Below are 20204 nucleotides of genomic sequence, written 5' to 3'. Positions count from 1 at the left end.
TGGACACCAAAAGGTAAAAGATATTCCATGTTCATGGATTGGAAGATTCAATATCATCAAAATGTCCATACTACCCAAAGTAATCTACAGTTTCAGTATAATCCTTATCAAAATACCAAGGACATTCTTCACAGAAATTCAAAAAAAAATCCTAAAATTTATATGTAATATCAAAAGACCCAGAATAACCAAAGCTATTTTGAGCAAAAGGAACAAAGCTGGATGAATCACATTACCTGACTTCAAATCTGGTGCTACAGCAACCAGAACAGGAGGGTATTGGCATAAAAACAGTTACACGGGTACCAGCATGAAAATTAAAAACACACCAAAAAATAATATAAAAAACCAAAGAAATAGAATGGAAAACCCATAAACAAATCCATACAGCTACAGTGAACTCATATTTAACAATGGTGCCAAGAATATACATTGAAGAAAAGATAGTCTCTTCAATAAATGGTACTGAGAAAACTAGATATCAATATGTAGAAGAATTAAACTTGACCCCACTCTTTCACCATATACAAAAATCATATTAAAATGGATTAAAGATGTAAATATAAGATCTCACATTATAAAACTACTATAAGAAAACATTGGGGAAAATCTCTAGCACATTGGTCTGGGCAAAAATTTCCTGAATAATACCCCACAAGCACAGGGAACCAAAGCAAAAATGGAAAAATGAGATCACACTAAGTTAAAAAGCTTCTGGACAGCAAAGGAAGTGAAGAGACAACCCATAAAATGGGAGAAAAAAATTTCAAACTACCCATCTGACAAGGGACTAGTAACAGAATACAAAAGAAGCACAAACAACTCTATAGGTAAAAATCTAATATTCCAATCAAAAATGGGCAAAAAAAGTGAATAGGCATTTGTCAAATGAAGACATACACATGACAAACAGGCACATGAAATGATGCTCAAAGTCACTGAACACAAGAGAAATGTAAATCAAAACCACAATGACATATCATCTCACAGCAGTTAAAATGGCTTATATGCAAAAGTCAGATAATAACAAATGCTGGGAAGGATATGGAGAAAAGGGAACTCTTGTACACTATTGATGGGAATACAAATTATTATAACCACTATTGAGAAGAATTTGAAGCTTGCTCAAAAAAGCTAAAAATTGAGCCACCATATGATCCAGCAATCCCACTGCTGGGTTCCTACCCAAAAGAAAGGAAATTAGTACATGAAAGAGATATCTGCACATCCATGTTTGCTGCAGCACTGTTCACAACAGGTAAGATTTGAAAGCAACGTAAGTGTCCCTCAAAAGATGAATGAAAATAGTACTCTAAAAGAAAAGAATTAGATCCTGTCATTTGCAAAAACATGGATGGAATGAAAGAGTATTATGTTAAGTGAAATAAGCCAGGCACAGAAAGACAAACGTCCTATGTTCTCACCTATTTGTTGGATCTAAACATTACAGTAATTGAGCTCATGGAGATAGAGAGTAAAAGGATGATTACCAGAGCTGGGAAAAGTAGTAGGGTAAATCAATAACAGAAGGAAAACTGAAAAAAAAATAAATGTGAGGAAATTAAACAACATACTCTTGAATAATGATTGGGTCAAAGAAGAAATCAAAAGAAAATTTAGAAAATATCTTGTATGTAACATCAAATTATATGTAACATCAAAAGACCCAGAGTAACCAAAGCTATTCAAAGCTAAACAAAGATGAAAGCACAACATATCAAAATTTATGGAATATAGCAAAAGCAGTACTAAAAGAGAAGTCACAGTGATAAACACCTACCTAAGAAAAGGACCAGCCTGGGGAACATAGCAAGACCTTCTCTCTACTAAAAATTAAAAAAATTAGCCACTCATGGTGGTACACGCTTGTATTCTCAGCTACTTGGGAGACTGAAGTGGCAGGATCACTTGAGTCCAAAGTTCTAGGTTCTAGTGAGCTTTGATCATGCCACTGCAATCCAGTCTGGGCAACAAAGTGAGACCCTGTCTCCAAAAAGAAAACAGGAAGAAAAGAAAAAAATATATAAAATGGCAAATTAAATTTAAAAAACTAAACACAAATTTAGCAGAAGGAAGAAAATAAAGATTAGACTTACATAAGTAAAATAGAGACTAAAAGAAAATTGAAAAAAAATAATAAAACCAAAAGTTGAATTTTTAAAAACATAAAAAAATTTAAGAATGCCTTAGCTGAACTAAGAAAAATAGAGAAGCCTTAAATAAATAAATTCAGAAATGATAGACATTACAACTTACTCTACAGAAATAAAAAGGATTATAAGAGACTAGCATGAATAATTATTCTCCAACAAATTAGATAACCCAGAAGAAATAAATTTTTAGAAATATACAATCTACCAAGACTAAGTAATGACTAAATAAAAATTGAACAGATCTATAACTAGTAATTACATAGAATCAGTAATAAAAAAATCTCCAACAAAGAGAAGCTCAAGAACTGATAGCTTCACTGGTGAATTCTAACAAATATTTAATAAACTAATGCCAATTATTTTCTTCCAAACCCTTTCAAAAAATTGAAGAGGAGAAAACACTTCCAAACTCATTTGATAGAGCAAGCATCATCCTGATATCAAAGCCAGACGAAGCCACTCTAAGAAAATTACAGGTCAATATCTCTAATGAAAAAAGATATACAAATACTCAACAAAATAGATCAAACTGAATTTAAGAGTATGTTGAAAGGATCACACATCTTGATCAAGTAAGATTTATCCCTGGGATGCAAGGATGGTTCAACATACAAAAATCAACATGATATACCATATTAATGAAGAATTTTTAAAAATCACATAATGATATAAATAGATGCTAAAAAAATATTTAACATAATTTAATACCCTTTAATGATAAAAAAAATTCAACAAACTAGGAGGAGAAATAAACTAGTTCAATGTAATAAAGGCCATATATAAAAAGCCCACAGCTAACATCAAACTCAAGATTAATTCTGAAAGCCTTTCTTCTAAGATGAAGAACTGCCCTTCTAAGATGAAGATGCCCACTCTAGCCACCTTTATTCAACAGGAAGTCAATAGGGAAAAAAAGGCTTCTCAAAAAAATAAATAAAATTGCCCCTGCTGCTCTGCCAGAGCACACTCTCCTACAGTCCCCCAACACCATTGTGTTGGCATGCACAAGCAGACCTATCACCCTGCCCTGACTAGTACACACAAGCACGCACCCCACCACACCCGCCACTGTTGGTGTGAGTGCATGGGCACAAACACCATTGCCACTCTTGCACTGGCACTCGCAGATGCTGCTACCTGGCCTTGGTTGGTGTCCTACCCAGTTGATGCTTGAAGACCCTGCCAAGTCACCACCACCACTAATGCACACTTGTATACAGATGCTGCTGCCCAACCCCATCAAAGAACTTTTGATGATATCTCCCATTACAGTACTGTTGACATAGAGTAGAAACACCTTGACACCTCCAACTCAGCAGGTACTTAACCCGGAGGGGCCAGAGAACAAAGCTTTGGGCTGGTACCAACCCCTCAAAGTTAAAGCATACAGCCTAGGGGTACTCAGCTGAGCCTCATCCTCTGAAATCTTCTTGAAATGAAGCCAGTTGACTGAACCGACTTTATATGACAGTCACTCCCTCAAGGGTATCAAAGAATATAAAAGCAAAATCCCTATCCAAAGGACAGCAACTTCAAAGATTAAAGGAACATCAGCCCACACAAGAAAGAACCAACACAAGAACTCAAGAAACTAAAAAAGCCAGAGTATCTTCTTACCTGCAAGCAACTGCACTAGTTCCCCAACAATGGTTCTTAACCAGGCTGAAATGACAGACATAGAATTTGAAATATGAATAGGAATCAAGATCATTGAGATTTAAATGAAAGTTGAAATCCAATCGAGGGAATCTAAGGAATACAATAAAACAATATAAGAGCTGAAGTGGAATATACTCATTTTAAGAAAGAACCAAACTGATCTGATCGAGTTGAAAAACTCACTATAAAAATTTCATAATGTAATCAGAAGTATTAACAAAATAGACAAAGATTAAAAATCTCAGAGCTCACACACAAAAAACTGGCTCTTTGAATCAACTCAGACAAAATAAAAATAAAAATAAAAATAAAAAAGAATAAATGAAGCCTCTGGGAAATACAGGTTATGTAAAGACCCCAAGCATACTACTCATTGGCATCCCTGTAAAAAGAGGGACTTCGAAAACATATTTCAAGATATTGTCCATGAAAACTTCCCCAACTTCACTAGAGAGGCTGATGTTCAAATTTAGGAAATGCAGAGAATCCCTGCAAGATATCGTATGAGATAACCATCCTCAAGACACACAGATATCAAATCCTCCAAGGTCAAAATGGAAGAAAAAATTTTAAAGGCAGCCAGAGAGAAGAAACAGGTTGCATGAAAGGGAGCTCCATCAGGCTAAAAGCAGATTTTTCACCAGCAACTCTGAGCCAGAAGACATCAAGGGCCTATACTCAGCATTCTTCCCCTCACCAACTTTATAATGGGATTACATATATTTTTTTCCTGCTGAGTTGTTTGAGTTCCTTGTAGACGATGGATATTAGTCCTGTGTTGAATGAATAGTTCGCAAATATTTTCTTCCTTTCAAGAGGTTGTCTCTTCACTCCATTGATTTTTGTCCATATGCTTTTTAGTTTAATATAGTCCCATTTATCAGTTTTTGTTTTTGTTGCCTGTGCTTTTTGAGGTGTTAATCATAAAATATTTACCTAGAACAATGTCCAGGAGAGTTTTCCCTGTTTTCTTCTAGTATTTTTATAATTTCAGGTCTTAAATTTATGTCTTTAATTCATTTGAATTGATTTTTGCCTATGGTGATAGACAAGGTCCAGTTTCATTCTTCTGCATGTGACTATCCAAATTTTCCCAGAACCATTTACTCAAGAGGGTGTCCTTTTCCCAGTGTAAGTTCTTGTTAGCTTTTCCAAAAATCAGTTGGCTCTCGATGTGTGGCTTTATTTGTGGGTTCTCTATTCTGCTCCATTGGTCTATGTGTCTATTCTTATGCCAATATCATGCTGCTTTGGCTAGATAGCCTTGCCACATATTTTGAAGTCAGGTAATGTGATGCCTCCAGTGTAGTTATTTTTGTTTAGAACTGCTTTGATGATTCAGGCTCTTTTATGATTCGATATGAATTTCAGGATTTTTTTCTGATTTTGTGAAGAATGATGTTGGTATTTTGACAAAGATTGCATTAAATCCATAGATTGCTTTGGGCAATATGGTCATTTTATTGATATTAATTATTCTAAAACATGAGCATCAAATCTTTTTCCATTCGTTTGTGTCATATTCAATTTCTTTCATTGGTATTTTGTGGTTTTCCTTATAGAGGCCTTTCACTTCCTTGGTTAAAATTATTCCTAAGTATTTTGTTACTTTTTCGTAGCTACTGTACATGGGGTTGCTTTCTTGATTTCTTTGTTGGCTAGATCGTTATTTTGAATATAGAAATATTACTAATTTTTTACACTGATTTTGTATCCTGCAACTTTACTGAAGTCATTCATCACAACTTCAGTTTTTTTTTTTTGGGTGGAGTCTTTAGGTTTTTCTAGATATAATCTAAATATAAATAAATATAATTAGAAATGGCAAAGGAAACATTGCCACTGACCCTGCAGAAACAGGAAAACACCCTTGGAGACTATTACAAACACCTCTATGAACACAAACTAGAAAACTTAGAAGAAACGGATAAAATCCTAGAAACATGCAACCTCCCAAGATTGAAAAAGGAAGAAACTGAAACACCTAACTGACAAATAACAAGTTCTGAAATTTAATCATAACAAAAGGCCTACCCACCAGAGAAAATCTGGACCAGATGTATTTGCAGCTGAATTCTACCAGACAATAAGGAAGATATGATTTAAATTCTATTGAAATTATTCTTAAAAACAGAGCAGGAGGATTTCCTCCCTAACTCGTTCTACGAGGCTAGGATCATTCTGATACCAAAACCTGGCAGAGGCACAATGAAAAAAGAAAACTTCAGGTCAATATTCCTAATGAACATAGATGGAAAAATTCTCAACAAAATACTAGCAAACGGATTCCATCAGTAATTCAAAAAGTAATCCCCCATGATCAAGTAGGCTTTATTCTTCGGATACAAGGTTGATTCCAGATATGCCAATCAATAAATGTTATTCATCACATAAACAGAACTAAAAACAAAACCACATGATTATCTAAATAGATGCAGAAAAACTTTTGATAAAATTCAACATTGCTTCATGTTAAGAACCCTCAACAAAGTAGGCATTAAAGGAATATACCTCAAAATAAGAAGCATCTATGACAAACCCACAGCCAACATCATACTGAATGGGCAAAAACTGGAAGCATTCCCCTTGAGAACTGGAAGAAGACAAGAATGCTCACTCTCACCACTCCTATTCAACATAGTAGCAGAAGTTGCAGCCAGAGCAATCAAGCTAAACAACGAAGTAAAATGCATCCAAATAGGAAGAGAGGTAGTTGAACTATCTCTCTTCACAGATGATATAATTTTATATGTAGAAAACTCCATAGTCTCTGCCCAAAGCTCCTAGATCTTTTAAACAAATTCAGCAAAGGTTCAGGATACAAGTGTACAAAAATGAGAAGCATTTCCATACACCAACAATATCCAAGCTAAGAAGCACGCATGCACACACACACACACACACACACACACACACACACACACACACACACCAGAAACAGAGCTAACCAGGGAGGTGAAAAAGCTCTATAATGAGAATTAAGAAACACTGCTGAAAGAAATCAGGAATGACACAAACAAATGGAAACACATTTCATTCTCATAGATAAAAAGAATCAGTATCATTAAAATGGCCATACTTCCCAAAGCAATGTACAGATTCAATGCTATACCTACAACAATACTGATTACATTTTTCACAAAATTCTAAAATGCATATAGAACCACAAAAGAGCCTGAATAGTCAAAGCAATTCTAAGCAAAAAGAACAAAGCTAAACCATCACATTACCTGATTTCAAGCTATAATAAAAGGATAGAGAAACCAAAACAGCATGGTACTAGTACAAGAACAGACACATAGACCAATGGAATAGACTAGAGAAGCTAGAAATAATGCTGTACACCTACAGCTGTCTGATCTTTGACAAACCTGACAAAAATAAGCAATGGAGAAAGGACTCTGTATTTAATAAATGGTGCTGCGATAACTGGCCAGTCATATGCAAAAGATTGAAACTGGACCCCTTCCTTATACCATATACAATAATTAACTCAAGATAGATTGAAGACTTAAAGTTAAAACTAAAAACCCTTGAAGACAACTGTATTATTTTGTTCTTACATTGCTATAAATAAATACCCAAGACTGGGTAATTTATAAAGGAAGGAGGTTTAATAGACTCATTCCATATGGCTGGGAAGGCCTCAGGAAATTTACAATCATAGTGGAAGGGAAAGAGGCACGTCTTACATGGCACAGGTGAAAAAGAGAGAGAGAGAGCACATGTAGGAGGAATTCTCAAATGCTTATGAAACCATTAGATCCCATGAGAACTCACTCACTATCATGAGAACAGCATGGGGGAAATTGCCTCTATGATCCAATCACCTTCCACCAGGTACCACCCTTGACATGTGGGAATTATGGGGATTATAATTCAAGATGAGATATGGGTGGGGACACAGAGTCTAACCATATGAATAACCTAAGAAATTCCATTCTGAACATAGAACCTGGCAAAAATTTTATGATGAAGATACTAAACATAATTGCAACAAGAAAGAAAATTGACCAATGTTACCTAAATAAAGTTTCCGCACATCAAAATATAAACTATCAATAGAGTAAACAGACAACTTACAGAATGGGAGAAAATATTTTGCAAACTGTGCATCTGACAAAGGTCTAATATCCAGAATGTATAAGGAACTTTAACAAATTTACAAGCAGAAAACAACCCCTTTATTAAAAAAAAAAAGGACATGAACAGACACTTCTCAAGAGAAGGCACATGTGGCCAAAATGCATTATGAGTGCTCAGCATTACTAATCATTAGAGAAATGCAAATCAAAACCACAATGAGATAGTATCTCACCTCAGTCAGAATGGCTACTATAACAAAGTCAAAAATTAATATATGCTGGCAAGGTTGAAGAGAAAAGGGAATGGTTATGTACTGCTTGGTAGAATCTAAATTATTTCAGCCATCATGGGAAGCATTTTGAAGACTTCTCAAAGAATTTAATACAGAACTACCATCTGACCCAGAAAATGCATTACTGGATATATATCCGAAGGTAAATAAATTGTTATACCATAAAGACACATGCAGGTGTATGCTCATTGCAGCATTGTTCTCAATAACTAATACATGGAATCAACTTAGATGCCCAACAGCGATTCGATAAAGAAAATGTGGTACATGTGGTACCTATACAGCATGGAACATTATCCATCAAAAAAAAGAATACCATCATGCCTTTTGTTTGTAGCAACATGGATGCAGCTGCAGGCCATTTTCCTAAGCAAATTAATGTAGGAACAGATAACCAAATACAGCATGTTCTCACTTATAAGTGGGAGCTAAACATTGGGTACATATGGACAAAGAAGGGAATAATATACACTGGGGCCTGTTTGAGGGTAGAGGATAAAAAAAAAACTATCTATCAGGACTATGCTTATTAGCATAGTTATATGGGTAAGTTGCATGTACACCAACCCCTGCAACATGCAACTTACCCATATAACAAACCTGCATATGTGCCCCCAAACCTAAGTCCCTGTTTGCAGATGACATGATCTCATATACAGAAAACTCTAAAGACTTTTTAAAATCCTGTTAGAAATAATAAACAAATTCAGTAAACTTTCAAGATACAAAATCAACATACAAATATCAGTTGTATTTCTTGCAACAAAAAAAAAAAATCTAAAAGGGAAATTTAAAAAGTAGTCCTATTTACATTAGTATCCAAAAAGAAGTAATTAAGGGTAAACTTATCCAGGGATGTGAAAAGCTTGCATATTGAAAATTACAAAACATTGTTCAAAGAATAAAGAAGACATAGGTAAATGGAAGGACATACTGTGTTTGTGGCTTGGAAGATTTAATATTGCTAAAATGTTCTTATTACATAAAGCAATGTACAATGTCAATGCAACCCCTATCAAAATCTCAGTGACTTTTTGTTCAGAAATAGAAAAAAAATACTAAATTTAATATGGAAACAAAGAATCCCATAGAGCCAAAACAATCTTGAGAAAGAACAATCCTGGACGCCCCACACTTCTGAAATTCAATACATATGACAAGACTATAGTAATCAAGAGAATAGTACTGGCATAAAGATAGACATGTAATCCAATCAAATAGAATAGAGAGCCCAGAAATAAACCCACACATGTATAGTCAAATGATCTCCAACAAAGATACCAAGAATACACAATGGGGAAAGGATAGTCTTTTCCATAAATAGATTTGGTAAAGTTGAATATCTACATGCAAAAATAAAAATGGAATTTTATCGTATGCTATATGCAAAAATCAAGTCTAAGTGGATTAAAGACATAAGACCTAAAGCCATAAAACTCCTAAAAGAACACATGAAGGCAAATCTTTATAACACTATATTGGCATCAAAAAGTTGGATATAACATCAAAACCACAAGCAACAAACACAAAAATAGACAATTTGGAATATGTCAATCTAAAAGTTTATGTGCAACAAAGGAAACAATCAACAGAGTGAAAAGGCAACCTACAGAATGAGAGAAGATATTTCTAAACTGTATAAGTGGTTAATATCCAAAATATACAAGAAAACCATAAAACTTAATTAAAAATATACAAAATAAGTATATGAATAGACATTTCTTCAAAGAAGACATACAAATGGCAACATGTATATGAAAAGATTCTCAATATCACTTATCAACAAGGAAATGAAACTGAAAACAATAGTGAGATATCACCTCACATCTGATAGGATGGGCATTTAAAAAAATAGAAAATAACAAATGTGGGATATTTTTGTTGTTTTTTGTTTGTTCATTTGTTTTTAACAAGATGAAGATTAGAGGCTTTTATCAACTTTCAACCACTTGGAAATAGCAAAATACTGTGTAAAGATCAAGCCTGTGAGCTTCAATTCAAGAAGGAAAATGAGAATTTACCAGAAGAGCAAAGGACACTTCAGATCCCAGGGAGGAGAAGATGGGAAAAGAGTGTTCATCTGAGAAAAATCAGCCCTCTTCCTAAGGCAATAGAGAGTTTCTCCCAGTAAACAGGATAATATATGTACCAATCTGCATTAGCTGCAGCCAAATCTTACCTATAAGTACCACCTACTGGCCTGGAGGTTGAATGTCACAACACAGTAGAAAATCTGCTGAGACAAGTGCACAGCACTAGAGAATGAGATAAGCTTCCTGTGACTTCTGTCACCCTAGCTCCACTAGAGGCTATGAGCCTGCCCACATGTCCCATACATCACAACTGGAATCAGTATTTGAAAAAAACACCACAAAAGGCTATCTGTAACTAAGAAATTTATAGAGACTCTTTGCTGCTGAAAGTACCCAGAATGAAAGCCAAAAGACCGTATACAATATACATTATATATATATACATATATATACTTATATATGTATATATGTGCATATATATGTATATATATGTGTGTGTATATATATGTGCATATATATATGTGTGTATATATATAAGCAGATGAGATTAGGAGCCTATTTTTAGTCTCTTTATGTATAAAAAACACCAGTCAAGGATTTCATATCTTACCAAACAAAGCTTCAAAAATGAAGCAAAACTAAAGTCTTTCCCAGACAAATAACTACAAAGAAAACGTATTACCATTAGACTAGTCAAACGAAAATACTCAAAGAATTTGTAACATGGAAACAAAAGGATGATATTCACTATCGTAACAGTATACATAACTACAAAGCTCACAGCCCTTATAAAGCAATTACACAGTTGAAACTCCAAGGCAACTAGCTAGCAACACTATGACAGGAACAAAACCTTTCATATCAATATTACTCTTGAATATAAATGGCCTAAATGCTTTACCTAAAACATACAAAATGGCAAATTGTATTTTAAAGAAAAAAAGACACAACGACTTGCTACCTACAAGATAGTTACTCTTGGCTAAATACTACAGACAAAGTAAAGGGGTAAAAAAAGACATACCATGCAAATGGAAAACAAAAATGAGCATGACCAGCCATCTTCATATCACGTAAGACAGACTATAAACCAATATCAGTAAAATTTATAGAAAGTAGGATATTAGATAATGATGAAGGGTTCAATAGAAGAAGAAGATTTAGCTATTCTAAATATATATGCACCCAACATTGGAGCATCCAGTTTCATAAAACAAATACTACTAGACCAGGAAAACAGATTCATAGCAATAAAATAATAGTGAGTAACTCAACACCCTACTGATAACGCCAGATTATTGGGGCAGGAAATCAACAAAGGAACTCTGGACATAAGTGACTATAGAGCAAATGAACCTTACAAAATTGATGTACAAAAGTCAGTAGCATTTTTAATACATCAATAATGTTTGGTGCTCTCTTCAGTAGCACATATACTAAAATTAGAATGATACAGGAAAGATTAGCGTGGTCCCCGTGCAAGGAGAATATGCAAACTCATGAAACTTTTCCTATTTTAAAAAAGTAATATTTGGGCTGAGACCCAAATCAAGAACTCAATCACATTTACAATAGTCACAAATAGATGAAATACCTATAAACACATTTAAGCAAGGAAGTGAAAGATTTCTACAAAGAAAATTACAAAGCACTGATGAAAGAAATCATAGATGACAAACGGAAAACATTCCATGCTCATGGGTTGGAAGAATTGATATCATTAAAATGATAACACTGCCCAAAATAATCCACAGAGTCAACACAATCCCTATCAAATTACCAACATCATTTTTCATGGAATTAGAAAAAAACAGTCCTAAAGTTCATACAAAACCAAAAAAGAGCCCAAAGAGCCAAAGAATTACTAAACAAGAAAAACACATCCAGAGGCATCATATTGCCTGACTTCAAATTACACTACAAGGATTTAGTAACTAAAACAATGTGGTACTGGTACAAAAAGAGACACATAGATCAGTGGAACAGAATAAAGAACCCAGAAATAAAGCCACATACCTACAACCAACTGATCATCAGTAAAGTTGACAAAAATAACAAATTTGAAAAGGGCATCCTATTCAAAAAATGTTGTTGGGAAAATTGGCTAGCCATATGCAGAAGAATGAAAACCGACCCTTATCTCTCACATTATATAAAAATTAAGTCAATATGGATGAAAGACTTAAAAGTAAGACCTGAAGCTATACAAATTCTAGAAGAAAGCTAGAAAAAAACTCCTCTGGAGATTGGTCTAGGCAAATAACTTATGATGAATACCCCAAAATCAAATGAAACAAAAATAAAAATAGACATGGGATTTAATTAAACTAAAAGCCTTCTGTACAACAAAAGAAATAATCAACAGAGTAAACAGACAACCTACAGAATGGGAGAAATATTTGCAAATTATGCCTCTCACAAAGGACTAATATCCAGAATCTATAAGGAATTCAAAATCTCAATAAGATACAAACAACAAACCCTATTAAAAACTAGCAAAGACATGAACAGATATTTATCAAAAGAAGAAATAATAAGTGTAAAACAAACATAAAAATTGTTCAACATCATTAAACATCAGAGAAATATAAGTTAAAACCACAATAAGATATTATCTCACAACAGTCAGAATGACTAGAATTAAAAGTCAAATATAACAGATGTTGGCATGTATGCAGAGAAAAGGGAATGCTCATATACTGTTGGTGGGAATGCAAATTAGTTCAACCTTTACGGAAAACAATATGGAGGTATCTCAAAGAACTGAAAATAGAACTCCATTCAACTCAGCAATTCCAACACTGGGTATTTATTCAAAGAAAAATAAATTATTGTATACAAAAGACACCTGCACTTGTATGTTCATCACAGCACTATTCACAATAGGAGAGTCATAGAACCAACCTAAGTGTCTATCCAATGGTTGACTGGATAAAGAAAATGTCTGTGTGTGTGTGTGTGTCACATTTAATATGGCATATCACATCAATAAATGTTGGTATTTATTGATGTAATACACATATATACGTATATGTATTATATATATATTAAATACCATGTACACTCACACATACACACACACACACACACATACACACATAAAATGGAATACCACATAGCCATAAAAAAGAATGAATGTCCTTTGCAGCAACATGGATGGAGCTGGAGGCCATTATCTTAAGGGAACTAGCTCAGAAACAGAAAATCAAATACTACATGTTCTCATTTATAAATCAGTGCTAAACAATGGGTGCACATGGATATAAAGGTGGAAGTGATAGACACTGGTTACTCTGAAACAGGGAAGGGTGGGAGGACAGGGAAGACTGAAAAAATGCCTATTGGGTACAATATTCACTATTTGGGTAATGGGTGAATTAGAAGCACAATCTCCACCAGCACATAACATAACAGTGTAACAAACACTCACATGTAATCTCTTTATCTAAATTAAAATATTTTAAAAAAAGAAAAGAAAAGAACAAGTGTTGCTGAGGATGTGGAGAAATTGGAACCCTTCTGCACTGTTGGTGGGAAAGTAAATGGTGCAGCTGCTTTGAAAAACAGTACTAAGTTTCCTCAAAATTTTAAAAATAGAACTACCATATGATTCAGCAATCTCACTTCAAGGTATTGATCTAAATGAATTGAGATCAGGGTCTCAAAGAGTTAGCTGTGCTCCCATGTTCATTGCAGCATTAGTCATAATAGCCAAGATGTGGACTCAACCTAATTGTCCATCAACAGATGAGTGGATAAATAAAATATGGTAAATATATACAATGGAATATTATTCAGTTTTATAAAGGAAGGAAATTCTGTCATATGCTACAATGTGAATGAAACTTTAGGACATTATACTAAGTGAAACAGGCCAGTCACGTAAGGAGAAATGTTGCATGATTACACTTACATGGGATATTTAAAGTGGTCAAACTCACAGAAACAAAGTAGAATGGTGGTTGCCACGGCCTAGGAGAAGAAAGAAATGGGGAGTTGCAAAATGTGTGTGGAGTTTCAGTCAGGCAGAATGAAAAAGCTCTAGAGATGTGCTGTGCAACAATATGCATACAATTAACAATACTGTACATACCGTACACTGAAAATTTTGTTCAGAGAGTAGAATTCATGATATGTCTTTTTTTTTAACCACAATAAAGAAGTCATGCGAAGATGTGTGTTTTGTCCACTGTTCCCTTCATGGGCTTGGGCTGTGGCTGCCAAATGTTAGGTACTCCATGTATATTTTCTGAATGGACTGATGAATGAATGAACACACATCCTGGCCCCAAAGCCAACTGAGACTGATAAAATCTCAAAGTACAATTGCCTTCTTAAGTGGCTGGTGGTGTGGGGCTCATAAGAGTTTTAAATCCAGACAAACCATGTTTTGAATCTGCCTTCTGACCCCCCTCCTCTGGGTGACCTTGCATAAGCGTCTCTGGAGCTGTTTTCTCATTATCTTGGGGATAGTAACATGTATCTCCAAATGTGGTACAAAATCCTACTGGATGATATGCATAAACCTCTGAGTATGCTGCCCTGCGTGGAGTACATGCAGCACTCCTCAACCCCTTAAATACCAGAATTATGTTCTCCATCACCATCACCATCCACATTCTCATCAATAAGCCTGCAACACCTTGCCCCTGATGACAAAGCTCTGTATTCACATGATCTCACCCAATCACTGTAGCAGAAACTCTAGAGAAAGAGGGGCCGAGGTGGCTCCTTTTCTCACTTTAAAAGCACATCAACTAAGACTATGGGCACATCGACTCAGCATCACACAGGGAAAAGTAGGAATAGGTGGACTGATGGATACCAAATCTCATGATTTTGTTCCAGCTTCATGTCTCAATCTAGAGGTGTCTAAACACCTCCAGAGGCTTCTACCTCCTGGAGCAGGCCAGCTCCTCTCTCACCTGGCCTCCTGCCTTCCTACTATGTATTCATACTGCAGCCTGCAGGAACTTTCCAAAACATGAATCTCACCGTGCCTGTCACTGCCTAGAATCCTTCATGGCTTCATGCTGCTCTAGGGTTAAGACCTTTGCATGGCTGGCAAGGGCCTCGGCATTCTGAGCACAAATTGTATCTCCGACTTGTCCTGCATCTTGCTCCTGATTCTCTGTTGGATTTATCTGTATGCATCTCCCACTGGCTACCAGAAAAATGAGACTTGCCTAATGTACCCCATCAGAGTGCAGTTGTGGGCTCACTGTACACGCGTGTGCTTGCCTGTGAGCTCCTTCATTATATCTTTCCTATGAGGACAAAGCCCAGCCAGGCTGGTTTACTACTAGATAGAACAGTACCCAGCATACAGCAGCTGCTAATTGTGTTCATTGAATACATGAATAGATGAACACATACATAAGTGAAAGCATACATGGGCACATGCACATATACTTCTGCACTTGGAGCCTCTGTGCAGGCCTCGACAGGGCTTTTCCCGCAGCTGTCAAGGACAAATTCCAATACTCAGGCTGGTCTCAGCCCCTACCCACACCTTCTTGTTCCTTTACCCTCAGACCCATCCATCTCCTTTCTTCTTAAAGACAGCACACAAATGCCTGGTTGGCATTTGCGATTGGCTGGGCCCCATGTTACCTGAGTGGAATTCTGTTCCATGACAGTAGTCCCTTGGGAGAAATCCAGGAGAGCAAACTGCACAGGAACAGCTTCCTAGAAAATTGTAAGATTTGAAAGTTCTTTTAATGAATTAAATGGAGAAGAAAACTCCCGAAGATGGATAAAGCAGTGAGGACTTTCATCACCCTTCGGCCTTTTAAAATAAAACTACTTTTTTAATTGTGGTAAAAAATATACATAGCATGACATCATCATGAACCATTTCCAGAACTTTTTTATCTTTCAAAACTAAATCTCCATACCCATGAAACATAACTCCCTATTTCCTCCTCCCCCAGCATTCTACTTTCTGTCCCTATGATTCTGACTATTCTAAGTAGCTTCTGTAAGTGAAATCATACCATATTTGTCCCATGGTGTCTGACTTATTTTACTTAGCTTGATGCCCTTGAGGTTCATCTGTGTAATACCATGTTGTCAAAACTTTCTTCCTTTTGAAGGCTGAATAATTCTTCCTTGTGTGTGTATATCTCATTTTGCTTGTTCATTCATGTCAATTGCAACCCACTCTTGGGTTGCTTCCATCTTTTGACTATTGTGAATAATGCCGCTATGCACATAGGTGCACAGATACCTGTTTGAGCCCCTGATTTCAATTCTTTTGAGTATATACCCACAAATGGAATTGCTGAATCATGTAGGAATTATATTTTTAATTTTTTGAGGCACACCATTCTGTTTTCCACAGTGGCTGCACCATTTTACATTCCCACTAATACTGAAAAAGGGTTAAAATTTCTCCACATCCTCCCCATCACTTGTTTTGTTTTTACAATGGCAGCCATCCTAACAGGTTTGAGGTGGTGTCTCAATGTAGTTTTGATTTGCATTTCCCTTATGATTCATGATGTTGAACATCTTTTTGTCTGCATTTTTCATTCGTTGGAGAGATATAAAATAAAAAGTCCTTTACCAAGTTAAAAAAAAAAGGTCATGTTTACTTCATGGTGCTTTGTATGATTTTCTTTCAATCATCACTGATGATACTTAAAGATAAATTATTATTTGTAGTCTCCAGTATGTTGCTTATACTTTCCAATTTTTAAAACATTTAAAACAGCTAGATTTAATGACCTATCCTAAGTTTTTTTGTTTTTTGTTTTTTTTTTTTAACAGAGCAACTCATTCAATCTATTTACACCAGTTTTTTTCTTCCTCTTGTTAACTTCATAATTTCTTACTGACATTGACCTCTCTCACACAATACTTTTATACTCTACTTTCTTATTTATAATGTTTATGCTGTTATAAAATGTGTCTATTGTCAACGCTTGTAAAACATATTTTATCTACATGTCAAAAAATAACTCTTGCCTATTTCACACAAAGAATATTTTTGTATGGCATTGAAATTAAGTTCTCATATATTCTCAAGCTTGACTAGGGAATTGTTTCTTCCCATTTAACTTCTTGAACTTATAGTATGATGTGAACCTTAATTTACTGAAGTATATATTAAAAATTAGGAAAAACAGCTCTATTACATTCTTACGAATGTTATCAGAAATGTCATCACTGAAACTTCAGGAAAGAAAGTGACAGATGATAAAGGCCTACTGATATAATCCCCACTCACTATTTCCACTCACACCCCTTCTCTCTCTCTTCAGCTCTCCTATTTCCCACACCAATGTGCCCGTCCCCACTAGAAAAAAGGGAAGGCTTTCAGTGAAAGAAATGTAATGTAGCTAGCCATTGAAGGAACCAGGAAGACTCAGCCCTGCACTATCACAAGGAAACAAATGTGAGAAAAGATAAGAAAACTCAATGAGAATGCAATAGGAAGAACCAAAGAAAATTGTCTAAGCAACAGAACAGCACAAGAAAACATACTTAATAGGAGGAAACAGGCACAGTTCTTGAGCAGTGAATCATAAGAATTAGAGGCCATCTAGGTTTCTGATTTTGGAAATAATGTTTTATAGAGTAAAATCTAAAACAGAAAGCAATCATTATAAACAATTTTCTTCCCTCCAAAAACTTTTCACTGGGCACTCTGCGATGCTAATGCCGTAATTACTGCCTCTAACTCTGCACCTCATTCAGAAGTGCTACCGGCAGCACATGCCTTAAGTGAGCCTCAGAGTGTAGTTTTCCTTGCAGCCCTCCACCTCACCCCACAACAGAATAGTCACACTCTGAAGTTCCATAAACACAAGGCTGGGGAAATTGCCTCAGCAAAAAGTGCCTGCTCTCCAACCTACGCTGTCAGTCTAACAAATGGCCATGTTACAGCACCCTCGTTACATTATCCCTCTACCTGTGCTCAAACACTAACCCCTCATACATCCTCAACGATTTTGTTGCAATGAGTATCCTTCTTCTTCATGATTAATTCCTCTTTTCCTCTTTCTTATCTTTGTTTTTCTTTTCTTCTTTTTTTTTTTTGTGTGTGTGACTATTTCTTTTGGAACTGGATCAAGCAAAAAACAACTCCCTCAGTTTTATGATTTCCTATAACATATTCCCATCTGTTTCCGTTCCTCAAAGTTGAGCATCTTGAGCTTTCTACATGCATTGTCCCTTTTTCTTATTCAAATCTCCATGCATTGCCGTCCACCTTCTTCCCCATTACAAAGAAACTACTTTCACGCAAATTTCCAGTGACTGCCTGGATTCAAAGTGCAATGTACATATTTAATCACTCTTCTTTTCCTTCTCTACGACTTCTCTTTTCACTTCTCATGATGTCATTAAAAAATAGCATCTTGGAACACACCCAGCCCTTGATTTCCAAGACACTATTTTCTATTATTTGGGTTTTTTGTTGTTTTTCTACTTAATATTATCTTTGATTTGTTTTTCCCCAACATTCCTTAAAGACAAATGTTTTGCTCTTCTATCCTTAGTTTTTTTTCTGTTAATTATTTACATTCTCTCTGGCTTTAACTAAAATATGTATACTAATGACTTCACATCTTTTTTAACAGTATAGAAATTTTTTTCCAAAATTTAGAGCTGTATTTCCAAATTCCTGCCATACTTCAACACTTGGAAGTAACATTCATGCTTAAATTCAGCATGGCTAACACTGAACTTGTCATCTCCAATCCTGTTTCTATTTCAATTGTCTTCATCTTGGGTAATTGCATCATCTACTCATCTAAGTTGAAAATGATCCTCAATACTCTCTTTACCAAATCCTTCCCTCAACCATGTGTTATTAAGCCCTGTAGATTCTACCTCCTAATTATCTCTCAAATTGGACCCCAGCCCTGCTGCTTTCAATCTATCATCAATTTATTGTTAATGTTTTAAAAAAATCATGTTGAAAGTAAAATGAAAAGGGTTTTTGTGTAAATACCTCCCAGGAGCTCTTACTATTTGTGAATCTTCAATTCATTTAATACTACTGAGTTTCTAGCTTGTCAAATCTTTAATGGATGAGAAAAGCAACCTCTTTACAAGGTTAAATTAAATCATGCATACACAAGTGCCTGCCTCTCGGTAAACACTCAACAATATTATTATTATCATCATCATTAACTTTACTGCTATTATTATGACTTATCCTGGTTTAAACCCATGGAAGTACTACAGATTTTCTTTCAGTGTTCTTTATCATCTAATTACGAACTTCTCTAGCCTCATTTTCTTATGCTCTTTGACAGAAGCCCTGCTTTTAGTGAGGTGCTTTTTCTTCTTGCTTTTCTAAAATAACTACTCAAATTCTTGTTCTTCTTACATAACTACTGAGAAATCTGTCAAAAACCCATTTCAATAATTACTTATTCCAGAAGGACTAACAAGAAAAGATGCACAAGGAAACATTGCAAAGAGACAGAATTTTACAGAATATTGAGACATATCTTAATTGGGGTGGAGGTTTCACAGCTGAATGTCAAAAGTCATCAATCTGTAGAGTAAATGTGTCCATTTTATTATATGTAAAGTATACCTCAGTACATTGATTTCTAAATGATTTCATACAGAACGTCTTCAGTAACTCCTTTCTTCCCAGGCTGAGATATGTGATCATATGTGAGTGTCCAGCGTGCATGCATACAATCTCCGCATAACACTTATTCTATTTTCATCTTATTAAGTGCCGAACTTATTATGAATCTCCCTATAAATTATAGGACACTCTTTTCTAAATCTTTAGCTCCAGCATCTTGTATAAGACCTAAACACAGCAGGACTTCAAAGCATGTTTATAGAATCAGTGAATTAATAATTACACACTGAGTATTTTAAATATGTGTTACCCACAAATGTCCTTTACTCTCATACTTTTGTCAAATTAGTACTAATTTTTCAAAATTCCACTTGGGCATCTTCTTCTACATGAAGACTTTTCTATCCCCTTCCTTGTTACAGTACTTT

General features: G+C 35.2%; 1 long non-coding RNA gene and 1 pseudogene across 3 annotated transcripts in view, besides 1 other annotated feature; one reads left to right on the top strand and one right to left on the bottom strand.

Annotated features, from left to right (window-relative positions):
* CALCRL-AS1 (CALCRL and TFPI antisense RNA 1) overlaps window positions 1–20204 on the bottom strand; it is a 544253-nt gene that overhangs the window by 265086 nt on the left and 258963 nt on the right. The window lies entirely within an intron of this gene.
* Window positions 11636–11742, top strand: RNU6-989P (RNA, U6 small nuclear 989, pseudogene; annotated as a pseudogene).
* Window positions 18058–18741: an enhancer, noted in NCBI's record as "OCT4-NANOG hESC enhancer chr2:188128426-188129109 (GRCh37/hg19 assembly coordinates)". NCBI's record gives its function as "activates a minimal SCP1, AML or CMV promoter by ChIP-STARR-seq in primed H9 embryonic stem cells {active_cell/tissue: H9 hESC(primed)}" and the evidence as "EXISTENCE:reporter gene assay evidence [ECO:0000049][PMID:30033119]".

This window comes from Homo sapiens, chromosome 2 (assembly GCF_000001405.40).
Source record: "Homo sapiens chromosome 2, GRCh38.p14 Primary Assembly".
In the NCBI taxonomy this organism is placed as follows: Eukaryota; Metazoa; Chordata; class Mammalia; order Primates; family Hominidae; genus Homo; species Homo sapiens.
Note: the sequence above shows the minus strand (reverse complement) of the source record. Positions and strands in the feature narration are given on the sequence as shown.